The following is a 13,036-nucleotide window of genomic DNA, read 5'->3' on the forward strand; positions in this document are numbered from 1 at the left end:
GGGGTTCAAAAGACCAGTCTGGCCAACATGGTGAAACCCCGTCTCTACTGAAAATACAAAAATGAGCTGAGCATGGTGGCAGGTACCTGTAATCCCAGCTACTCAGGAGGCTGAAGCAGGCAAATCCCTTGAACCTGGGAGGCCAAGGTTGCAGTGAGCCGAGATTACGCCAATGCACTCCAGTCTGGGCGACAGAGTGAAACTCCATCTCAAAAAGAAAACCAAACCTCACACATTGGCAGATGCTGTATGTAGAGTGAGCCCTGGCTCTTGCAAGCCTTTTCAGTTATCAGCTTCAACTCTGGAGGCACTAGGGAGTTTGTTGGGAAACTCATCCAAATGCGATGAAGAAACCAGAACTTATTTACTATCTTGGATTCTAGGATTAGAACGTTTTTGATAAATTTTTAACTGAAATCCATTTATTCATTCAACAAATCATTGTTTAACATTAGCATGAGCCAGACATTTCTAGGTACTGGGGCTAGAGTAGTGAACCAAACAAAGCTCCTGACTGAAAGTTCACATTTTGGTGGGGGAAATTAGCATATTTGGTTGGTATAAGAAATATGGAAGTATATATGCTGAACAAATAATCACATAAACCTTGACAACCTCCTTTTAGCAATGAATTCTCTGCCTTAATAAGGAAGAGAGCATGAAGAAGTAAAATGTTAATGTCTTATTCTTTTTGAAACATCAGTGGGTTTTATTCAGTTTTATGGTTCAGGAAAATGGCTGTTAGACCTTAATGGCATGTCCATTCATTTGTAAATACAGGATATTTAGCCCTGCATATAAAAAGTAGTAATTGGACCCTTAAAGCAGATTTCATAAAATTTGTCAATGACAATTTGCATAAGTGACTGTCTGATTTATTTCTCATCATTTGGAAACACTTTTGTACTCTGGATTTGAGAGCTTGGCATGTTAAAAATCATTTAACTATCTAGAAAGTCTGTGTTTCTTTCTGTCAAGACTACCAATGTTTCCAGCCATTTTTGAGGAGCTGGCCCTGTTAAAGGCCAGGGCTGTTGGGAAAATAAATAAATAGGCCAAGGCTATTGGTGGAATTCTGTTGTAATAAAGGAAATCTGCAGATGCAGAGTCTGCATTCATCTCTAGCCTTTTTTTTTTTCCTTTTTTTTTTTTTGTGGGGGGATGGAGTCTTGCTCTGTTGCCCAGGCTGGAGTGCAGTAGCACAATCTCGGCGGCTCACTGCAACCTCTTTTGTTCTGTTCCATTGTTTTGTTTTTGTTTTTCTTCTTTGGGGTTTTCAATTATTCATTTATTGACTCTTTGTTTATCTTTTATATACTGTTTTTCTCTCTAATCGTTAAAAAAAATCATCAAATTCTTTTATATCAGCAAATAACCAATTAGTGTCAGATTTTCACAGTTGTCTAATGTTTTTGTACTGTTTACTTTGTCTGAACAGGGTCCCAATAAGGTCCCATACATTGCAATTGGATGATAAGTGCCTTAAGTCCCTTTAAATCTATAGGTTCCTCCTCCTCCTCTGTTTTGTTCCTTAAAATTTATCTCCTCCTCCTTCTCTGTTTTGTTCCTTAAAATTTATCTGTAGAAGAAATTAAGTCTTTTAGTGTGGAGTTTCCCACAGTCTCAATCTTGCTGATTCTACCTGTAAATTGGAGGCAGATTATAGATTTAATCAGATTTAGGCTCATATTCTGGCAGAAAGCCTTCATAATTGGTGGTGATTGCAAATCCTGTTTCTCTTTTAGTTATTTATTTTTCTTTTTCTCATTTTATTCTCTATGTTTCTTACCATGTTTACTATGATGTCTGTTTCCTTGTTCTTTGTAAGTCAGTCTTTTTGTCACTATAATTGTACCTTTTCTATAATTTTTTATAAATGAAATTACATAATATGGAATCTTGTATCTGGTTTCTTTCTATTAGCATAATGCTTTTGAAATGTGTATATCAGCAGTTGATTTCCCTTTTGTTGTTAAGTAATACTCCATTGATGAATATACAGTTTGTTGACGTGCTCACAAGTTGGGGGAGTTTGGTTGTTTTCAGTTTCATCTTTATGATAAAGTTGCCATGAACATTTGTGTATACATCTTTGGTTGGACATATGTTTTTGATTTTCCTTGGTAAATAACTAGGAATGTTATTGCTAGGTTATATGGTAAGCTTGAGAATTCCAGATATTCCACATCCTCACCAATTTTAGCCATTCTTGTCGCTGTGTAGTAGTGTCTCATTTTAATTTGCATTTCCCTAATGACTACTAATTTTAAGCATTTTTTAAAATAAGCATATTGGTCATATATATCTTTCACTTAAGTATCAGCTCAAATCTTTGCCTTTTGTTGTTTTTGGGGGGAGAGAGAGGATCGTCTTATTATGGAGTTGTTAAAGTTCTTTGTATATTCTGGATACAAATCCTTTATTGCAAATATTTTTTCCCAGTCCATGGCTTGCCTTTTCTTAATAATGTTTTCAAAAAAAACCAAAAGGGTGTTTTTGTTTGTTTTTTTGTTTGAAACAAAGGCTTGCTCTGTCACCCAGGCTGGAGTGCAGTGGCACAATCAAGGCCTACTATTGCCTCAAATTCCTGGGCTTAAGTGATTCTCCCACCTCAGCCTCCTGAGTAGCTGGGACTACACCTGTGTACCACCACACCCAGCTAATTTTTTTATTTGTTGTAGAGATGGGGTCCCACTCTGTTGCTCCAGTTGGTCTCAATGTCCTGGGCTCAAGTAGTCATCCTGCCTTGGCCTACCAAGGTATGGGAAATACAGGCATGAGCCACTGCACCCAGTCGAAAGTTTTCAATAAAGTCAGGTTCATCAGTTTTTTTTCTTCTTATGACTTAGGCTTTTTGTGTTCTAAGAAATCTTTGCTTAACCCCATGGTTACAAAGATTTTTTTGGCATGTTTTTAAATATAAGCCTTATAGTTTTTGTTCCTACATTTAGTTTTATAATTCATTTTGAGATCGTTTTTAAATATGTTGTAAATTAAGAGTCAATGTAAAAACTTTTTCCGTAATAGGTCTTGAAATCAGATGGCCTAAGTCCTGCAACTTTTTTTCTTTTCAAAGCTTGTTTTGGCTATTCTTGGTCTTTTACATTTCCCTGTAAATTTTAGAATCAGCTTGTCAGTTTCTACAAAAAAAATGCTGAGATTTTTATTGGAATTGCAGTGAATAAGTAGATCAATTTGAGGGAGAATTGACATCTAAACAATATTGAGTCTTCTAATCCATTAGCATAGTATATCTCTCTGTTTAGGTCTTTAATTTCTTTTTGCAATGTTTTATAATTTTTTTATGCACAAATCTTACCTTTTGTCAGATTTAAGTATTTCAAATTTTTGATGTTATAGTAAATAGTTTTTTTTTTTTTTTTGAGACAGAGTTTTTCGCTTGTCACCCAGGCTGGAATGCAATGGTGTCATCTCTGCCCACTGTAACCTCCGTCTCCTGGGTTCAAGCAGTTCTCCATCCTCAGCCTCCTGAGTAGCTGGGATTAGAGGCACCCGCCACCATGCCCAGCTAATTTTTGTGTATTTAGTAGAGGCAGGGTTTCACCATGTTGGCCAGGCTAATCTTGAACTCCTGACCTCAGGTGATCTGCCTGCCCTTGGCCTCCCAAAGTGCTGGGATTACAGGTGTGAGTCACTGGGCCCAGCAGTAAATAGTATTTTTAATTTTAATTTTTTATTATTGCTAGTATATAGAAATATAATTGATTTTTATATATTGAACTTGTTTCCTTCAACTTTGTTAAACTTACTTTTTCTTTCTAGTGGCCTTTTTGTAAATTCCTTCTAGTTTCCTACATAAATAAATCATGTCATTTATGAACAGAGACAGTTTTATCTTTTCCTATTCAATCTTATGCCTTTTATTTTTTCTTCTTGTCTGATTGTACTAACAGGACCTCCAGTAAATGTTGGATAGGAGTGGTAAGAAAAGTGTTCTAATTCATGGGAGAAGCATTCAGTCTTTCATCATTAAGTGTGACGTTAGCCATAGGTTTTTCGTGGAGCTTGAGGAAGTTTCATTCTGTTCCTGGTTTTCTGAGTTTTATTATGAATGGGTATTAAATTTTGCCAGATGCCTCTTCTGCATTTACTAAAATGATTATGTGAACTTTTTTAGTCCATTAATATGATGGATTACATCAGTTGACTTTTCAAATGTTAAACCAACCTTACATTCCTGGGATAAATCCTACTTGTTTAGGATGTGTTGTCTTTTTTTGTGTATTGATGGAGTTCATTGGCAGAAACTTTTTTACATCTATGTTCATGATATATTTACTCTTCATTTCTGATATGATTTACTTTTTTTTATTATTTCTTTCCTGAGTTAGATTGGCTCCCTTTACCTTTTCCTGTTGTCTTGCCCTCACCTCACATTATCTGGTCATCCCTTCCCCAGATGTTTTCTTTTACTGTTGTGTGGTCTTCCTTGGTAGCTAGCATTGTTGTTTGTTTGTTTGTTTGTTTTGTTTTTTCAAGTATGTTTTGTTTGTCATTAAGGAAGTTGTACTGCTGTCTTTCCACTTTTTTATAATAGGGCTTTGAACAGTTGCTGTGTTTTTTACCATTATGATACTTATATTTGAATGAGTTGGAATTTGCAGGACTAGCTATTAGTAGACTTCTATAGAAAAGGAAGCTAGGCGGGTAGTTTTTTAGACTTTGCTCCTCAAGAACGTTTCCTTCTTTGCTCTGGTGTAGCCACAGCTTCTTAGCCTCTCTGAATCTAACTTGATTCTAGAGGGCTGATCTTTGCCTTCAAGCCCTGTCTTTCAAGGAAGCCCTGTCTTCCAAGGTGTTTGTTTTCTCTTTAGAAGGTGGTGCTTTTTGAGCTCTTTCATCTCCAGGGCCCCCTTGGTAGAAAGGGACTTGCTACCTTTTTTTTTTTTTTCCAGCCTTATTCATATGCTGCTCCTGTTTGATCTTGGTCTACTCTGGGAATGGGGCTGTCTTCTGAGAATGAATATTTGTGGTCAGTCTCTAAGACCTACTACTACTGGTTTCCTCTGAACTCCTTGTGCCTGCCTACTGTATCACCAGAGCATCTCACCAGTTCTGTGGACTTTCTTTGACAGTAGTTTTGGAGAAGGTGAAATTACAGCTTTATAGGGACTTTTTCCCCCTTGTTTGTTTCCTCTATTTCATTTCTTAAATGAGCACTTGGAAGATTTGGAACCATGCTGCTGCCATGTTTCCCAATATTGACTTAATGACAGAGTTTTGATGACTGTGAGAGCAAAATCAAAAGAGTAAAATTTTTTTTGCCTTATAACTATTATGCCTAAATGAGTGATGTGAATTCTCAAGATCATTTCATTATTACAATTTGGTAGTCTTAAGATGTAGTTTATCTAGGAAAAGGAAAATATTTCTTTAGCCACTCTAACTCTTGGAAGAGTATGTGTGTAAACTCTTTTTTTTTTTTTTTTGAGACAGAGTTTCGCTCTTGTTGCCCAGGCTGCAGTGCATTGGCATGATCTTGGCTCACTGCAACCTCCGCCTCCCGGGTTCCAAGTAGCTGGGAATTACAGACGCCCACGACCACGCCCGACTAATTTTTTTTTGTAATTTTTGGTAGAGATGGGGTTTCACCGTATTGGCCAGGCTGGTCTCAAACTCCTGACCTCAGGTGATCCACCAGCCTCGGCCTCCCAAAGTGCTGGGATTACAGGCGTGAGCCACCGCACCAGCCTGTATAAACTCTTTAGTTAATTTTATAAACGTCGTAGTCCCATCTTCCATCATGTGGCTATTTAGAATATAAATTCAATATAAATTTGTATCATTTTGTTTGTTATCTTCTAGGCCAATTTTTTCTTTCTGCTTCATCTTTATAAAATTTTGTTTTCTTCTTTTTTTTCCACCCGAAACAGGGTCTTGCTCTTTTGCCCAGGCATGGTGCAGTTGAGGCTCACTGCAGCCTCAACCTCCTGGGCTCTCAACCTCCTGGACTCAAGTGATCTTACCACCTCAGCCTCCTGAGTAACAGGGACCACAGGAACACACCACCACACTGGCCAATATTTGTAATTTTTTTCCAGAGACAGGGTTTCTCTATGTTGCCCAAGCTGGTCTTGAACTGCTGGGCTCAAGTGATCCACTCGCCTGGCCTGGGTCTCCCAAAGTGTTGGGATTACAGGCATGAGCCACCATGCCCAGTCTATGGTTTTGGTTTTTTTTTTTTTGTTTTTTTTTTTTTTTTCAGACAGTCTTGCTCTGTCGCCCAGCCTGGAGTGCAGTGGCACAATCTTGGCTCACTGCAACTTCCGCCTCCCGGGTTCAAACAATTCTCCTGCTTCAGCCTCCTGAGTAGCTAGGATTACAGGTGCCTGTTACCTGGCTAATTTTTGTTGTATTTTTAGTAGAAATGTTGTTTCACCATGTTGGCCAGCCTGGTCTCGAACTCCTGGCCTTAAGTGATCCGCCCGCTGCAGCCTCCCAAAGTGCTGAGACTACAATTGTGAGCCACTGTTTCCAGCCCCAGCCTATAAAATTTTATCCTTATGCTTCTCAGACCATCTGTCCTCCCACATATGTATTTGTTTTCTATTTAACTTCAGATTCAGACTGAGTTTCCCATCTCTTTACCATTCTTATATTATTAAACAAGTTTTCCTGGATAAAACTGGTAGCTATTCATTGCCTGCCTGAAGCTTAGAAAGTGGCCATGTTTGGCTCTACAACTTATCCTAATTGTTTGGAATTTATAAGCCAGTCAATGCCACTTAGACTAGCTCTTTCCCAGTGATTGTGTCCTATGTAAGTGAAAAAAAAAGGAAAGTGAGAATTACCAGTAAATAATCCTCTGGACTTATCAGTCAGGTTATCAAGCCTGTAAAATAATTTATTATACTTCTCTTTACAGAGTAGAAATTGGTTTTCGTTTTTGTTTTTGTATTTTTAAAGACAGGGTGTCGCTCTGTCATCTAGGCTGGACTGCAGTGATGCAGTCACAATTCACTGCAACCTCTAATGCCTGGGATCAAGCAAGTGATTCTCCTACCTCAGCCTCCAGAGTAGCTAGGACTACAGGCGTGTGCCACCATGCCCAGCTAATTTGTTTTCTTTTATTACTTTTTTTTTGGTGGGGGGTGGGCAGTAAAGACACGGTCTCATTATATTAAGTGACCCTCCTGCCTCAGCCTCCCAAAGTGCTGGGATTACAGGCGTGAACCACCACACCTGGCCTCAGGGTGGAAATTCTTAATTCTTCTTTCTCCCAAGAATTATCTAAGGAAAGATTTATTAAAAATGATATTCATCAAACCTGCCCTCTAGTGACGTTTTAAAGAGAAGGAACTTTCAGAGTTATAGCACTAGCAAAGCAGTTCTGCACTTAAGAATATTTTCTCCTTCCTCAAATTCATTTAATGGAAAACAGAAAATTATGATGTAACCAGTGTTATAGCAAATTGGCATTGAGCACCTTGATTCCTGCTATCCCTTTTATTTAATTGTATTAAAAATTTTGTTTCCTCACCTGTAATCCCAGCACTTTGGGAGGCCAAGGTGACCAAATTGCTTGAGCTCAGGAGTTCGAGACCAGCCTGGCCAACACGGTGAAACCCCATCTCTACTAAAAATACAAAAATTAGCATGGCATGATGGTGCATGCCTCTAGTCCCAGCTACCTGGGGGACTCATGTGCGAGGATCACTTAAACCTGGAAGTTGAGGGCTGTGGTGAGCTGAGCTGAAATCATGCCACTTTGCTCCAGCCTGGGTGACAGAATGAGACCCTATCTCCAAAAAAAAAAAAAAGTTTCCTTTAAATGGAGCAAAATGCCATTAAAACCCAAAGATATGGCAAAATCCTGCCTCTTTTTTTTTTTTTTTTTTTTTTTTTGAGATGGAGTTTCACTCTTATTGACCAGGCTGGAGTGCAATGGTGCGATCTCGGCTCACTACAACCTCCGCCTCCCGAGTTCAAGCGATTCTCCTGCCTCAGCCTCCCAAGTAGCTGGGATTACAGGCACCCGCCACCACGCCCGGCTAATGTTTTGTATTTTTAGTAGAGACAGGGTTTCACCATGTTGGCCAGGCTGGTTTTGAACTGCTGACCTCAGGTGATTCACCCACCTCAGCCTCCCAAAATGCTGGGATTACAGGCATGAGCCACCATGCCCAGCCTAAATTCTGCCTCTTGATTAACCTCTGTGATTTATGTATCCTCTCTTCTAGCTTTGGTGTCATCCCCAGCACTCCTCTGGCCATCCATACACCACTGATGCCAAACCAGAGCATTGATGTCTCCCTGCCTCTCAATACCTTGGGCCCAGTCATGAAGATGGAACCTCTGAATAACCTCCAGGTCAGAGATTTACTTCACTCAGGTGGTACAAGTTAATATCTTGACAATTATTATTATTATTATTATTTTTAAAGACACAGTCTTACTCTGTTGCCCAGGCTGGAGTGTAGTGGTGCGATCTTGGCTCACTGCAACCTCTGCCTCCTGGGTTCAAATGGTGCTCCTGCCTCAGCCTCCCAAGTAGCTGGGATTACAGGCACAAGCCACCACGCCTGGCTAATTTCTGTATTTTTAGTAGAGATGGGGTTTCACCATGTTGGCCAGGCTGGTCTCGAACTCCTGACCTCGAGTAATCTGCCCACATGGACCTCCCAAAGTGCTGGAATTACAGGCATGAGCCACCGCGCCTCGCCCAATTTTTCATTTACATGTAAAAAAGTCCCTCTTTCTTCCTTAGGTTTGAGTTAGTCATGGAATCGGATTTGAAATAAATCTTTGTGGACGAGAGTTTTATGTTTTGTTGTTAAGAAAAACAAAAGTCATGCATGACATAGATATTCATTCTTTTACTCAACAAACACTTAGAAACTTTTTTCTTAACTTCTTATTTGTAAACCTTTTTTCCTTAAGACTTTTATAGCAAAATTTGAATGTCATTAATATAAGAAGAGATTTATATGGAGGTTATCATTGAACATTGGACCACAGGTAGCTAGGCTGTTTGGATTTAAATGCCCCATTAGCACCTATCTATGATAAGTATAACAGCATCTTAGAAGAATTTTATGTGGTCTACAAGAGCCTCTTTATCTTGAAAATGTCGAATTTTTTAGAATGCTTGGGTGTCAGCTTAGAGTTTCATTCAGTTTTCACCTACCTCGAAGTTTCCTTTGAAATATAAACCTTCTGGGCTTCAGGCAACATGAAGGCAGAGCAGTAAGCTCATAAGTCAGAACTGTAGCAACCCTGGAGGTTGCTAGCGGTTATGGTTTTAATGTTCACAAGAACAGGAAGAAAGCCTTGGGCCACCCAGAAATGGGGAACTGTAATCGATCCCTGCATAAAGCAGAGACCCTGGAAGGGCAGCTCCCTCAAAGAAAGGAGAACTAGGAAAATGTTTTCGCCATCTCCCAAAGATGATAGGAAATTTCTGAGCAGGGTTCTGGGTATAGCCCCTTGTGAGAAATTCAAGGCCCAATCAATGCCATAGATGAGTTATATATTCCAAATTTACACTACTTATGTAGGTGTAGTAACCTCCAAATCAATAAATTAATATAAAATTGGCCCAGGACTGGTGAAACCTAGAGTCCTGTCAGAAGCAAATACAAAGCAGCCCTTTAACAACAGTTTTAAATTTAGGGCCTTCAAGACCCCCAGCTGAAAAGAAAGTCTCTACTGAAAGTGAGCTCACAATTTAACAGGAGAGAGAGAGAAAGATACACTGTGAAGGATAGTCAAAAGACATTGCAAAGAGGAGGACTGGTACTGTCCCCACCCCCACTAAGAGCTTAAGATAGAACAGTCTGAATGAGACTATGAAATATATTTAAAATGATGAAAGAAAAATGTCAGCTTTCCTCTTTCCAGTCAAGACAGGTGGGATCCCATTGTTTAATCTAGAAATACCTGTGTGAGATACTAGTATTGATGGTGAGACGTCAATAGTAAAATATCTTGGAGGTAAAACTAAACATTCTTCAGTCATTTAAATACCAGCACAGCAGGCCTGTTTGCCAGTTCACTAACTACCTTGTTGCCACAGTAGTTGACTGCCTTTTTTTCAGCAAAGGGAATAATGATTTAGAGGGTAGACGAGTGAGTCACAATGTAACTTGGCTCAGACAAGAAGAATAAAGCAAGGATTACTATGCAGATGGAATTGGCTGTTACTATGATGACAGTAATGTGTTAAGGGGCTTTTCCAGCACAGGATCCTGAAGAAACTTAACCCAAATCTACATCTGTTCCCTTTTCATTGAAATCTAACCTCCCATTGGCCACAGAGCCTCAAGCCTAATATTTGAGGACAGTCAGCATGCACGCAAGAATGCTTTACCTCATAAGTAGGAAAGAGAATTTGGGTCACAGAAACCAGGGCAAATTTTCTGCTCTTAAAATGAAAAGAAAAAAAAGAAAAGAAACAGTAAACAAATTAATGAATGTCAGTTTACTTTCCTGTTGGCATTTCCATTTGACTAACTCCTGAACAGGAACCCTCACAAGAGAAGTTGAATCTTAGTCCAACCCTTTCCTCAAAAGTATTGATGTGATATTAGAACTAGCAAGTTTTAATTTTCATAAACCTGATATTATAAGAAGCAAACTTTAAATTTTTCCATCTATAGTTAACTACTGATTTTTCAAGTTTCCCACATGGATTCTCTTCTTTTGGGGATGTCATAATTGTGGCTATTTTCTCATTAATTGGCATTTCCCAATGGATATGATAAACAAAACTTGAAAAGAGAAAAACTTTTTCCCCCTGTGAGCAGCTCTACTTAGTGTATGCTGGTGAGAGTTGGAACTAATGTAATGGCTAGCTTAGGGATGTGTAGGGTACTTTAGATTTCAGCTTCCATTCTGCCCTTTTCCCCGTATGAACAAGAAGAAAATCAAAACATCATTCCAACAAGGTTAAACTATATATACATCCAGATAAAGCCAGGTAAAGATTGATCTAGCTTTTAAATATATTTGTATAATGTTTAGATTCAAGAGCTCATGTGGGAAAATTAGTATTTTTCTAGTACTACAGACCATAAAATTGGGAAAAAAAAATGTTGGGGATTGAGGAAATGAAATTTTGAATTCCATGTGGATTTTAGCTATTTTGGCTAATTTAATATCAATGTGTAGAACAATTAAATCAAGCCCAGCTGCCAGAACTGTAGTATAAAACTTATTATAAAAACTTTTCATCAGAACACTCATTAAACTACTTATTGGCTTATAGACTATTTGAAACACTATTTAAAAATTTAAAAGATACCATTCATTCTTTTTTTCTTCTTTGAGATGGAGTTTCATTCTTGTCACCCAGGCTCGAGTGCAATGGTGCAATCTTGGCTCACTGCAACCTCCGCCTCCCAGGTTCAAGCGATTCTCCAGCCTTAGCCTCTGAGTAGCTGGGATTACAGGCACCTGCCACCACACCCAGCTAATTTTTGTATTTTTAGTAGAGACGGGGTTTCACCAATGTTAGCCACGCTGGTTTCGAACTCCTGACCTCAGGTGATCCACCTGCCTCTGCCTCCCAAAGTGCTGGGATTACAGGCGTGAGCTGCCATGCCCTGCCTATTCATTCTTAAAATGTAAAATACATTATGCCTTAAATATGGGAATTAAATACCTAGTAGAGATTTGAACCTGGAAGAATTTTTCTACTATACTGACATCGACTGTAAAAGCTTTTGTGAATCAGCTTATAAACATTATACAAAGTAAAGTTAAGCTTGCTCCTACTGGGAGCCTTTCTTGAGTTTATTTATATCACGTAATTATATTCCTTAAAAAGAGAATTGATTCTCTCTGTTTAAATACAGCAGAAACCTTAATAAGTGTCTAAATGTGTTTCCTCTAAATGAGTTTTCTCTGACTCTTGATGTCCTTGTTTCTCATTTCGTGTGTTAGTTGTGCTTAGAAACATTTTCCCAGTGAACTTCTTCAAACTTGGACTGCTTTTTCAAGTCAGTGTCTGCAAGGAGACAGTGGAATTATGATTTAACGTGTTCATCTCCAGGGTAATGCTCATGGTCTTTATGTAGATGCTGCAGGGTTCCCACAGCTGCTTGGCCTCCTTTTTCCAGGGCCATAAACTCTTTTGAGAACATTGATAGCATCATTCTTTCAAGTTTTCAGGATGATAAAAGCACAGTTTAAAGAGCCAACTAATTCTACAATTATTTAAGAAAAACTGGCCGGGCATGGTGGCTCACGCCTGTAATCCCAGCACTTTGGGAGGCTGAGGTGGGCGGATCACGAGGTCAGGAGATCGAGACCATCCTGGCTAACACGGTGAAACCCCGTCTCTACTAAAAATGCAAAAAAAATTAGTCAGGCATGGTGGCAGGTGCCTGTAGTCCCAGCTAATTGGGAGGCTGAGGCAGGAGAATGGCGTGAGAATGGCGTGAACCCGGGAGGCGGAGCTTGCAGTGAGCTGAGATCGCGCCACTGCACTCCAGCCTGGGTGACAGAGCGAGACTCCGTCTCAAAAAGAAAAGAAAAGAAAAACCCAGTCCTGAGACTTTTCTCCCTAACAAGACCTCCAATATCTCCTCCCACAAAGCCAATTTCGTTCACCTCTTTTGATAATTACCTAAATAACATGCTCATATTGGGACTCCTGGATTTTTATTTATTTATTTTTTTTGAGATAGGGTCTCACTCTGTCACCCAGGCTGATGGTGCAGTCATGAGACACTGCAGCCTTCACCTCCTGGGCTCAAGCAATCCTCCCACCTCAGCCTCCCGAATAGCTGGGACCACAGGAGCACACCACTACACCCAGCTAATTTATATTTTTTAAAATTTTTTGTAGAGACGGGGTCTCTCCATGTTGCCTAGGCTGGTCTCAAATTCCTGCGGTCAAGCAATCCTCCCACCTTGACCTCCCAAAGCACTGGGATTACAGGTGCGAGCCACCACACCCAGCTGGATTTTTCTGTTTTAGATATTCCTGTACATGTCCCCACTCACTGCCATCATCTACATACTTTTCATGTTCCCATTTTTTCTGACAGAACTATCTTAAAATTTACTTAAA

General features: G+C 39.4%; 1 protein-coding gene across 13 annotated transcripts in view; it reads left to right on the forward strand.

Annotated features, from left to right (window-relative positions):
- Window positions 1-13,036, forward strand: part of AP2B1 (adaptor related protein complex 2 subunit beta 1) — a 139,092-nt gene that overhangs the window by 87,172 nt on the left and 38,884 nt on the right. For all 13 annotated transcript variants that reach the window (XM_011524450.3, XM_005257938.4, XM_047435509.1 and 10 more), the window contains one exon: window positions 8,202-8,331. In XM_011524450.3, the coding sequence (XP_011522752.1) occupies window positions 8,202-8,331 (130 nt within the window). The remainder of the gene's footprint in view (window positions 1-8,201; window positions 8,332-13,036) is intronic.

The sequence above is a fragment of the Homo sapiens genome, chromosome 17, assembly GCF_000001405.40.
Source record: "Homo sapiens chromosome 17, GRCh38.p14 Primary Assembly".
In the NCBI taxonomy this organism is placed as follows: domain Eukaryota; kingdom Metazoa; phylum Chordata; class Mammalia; order Primates; family Hominidae; genus Homo; species Homo sapiens.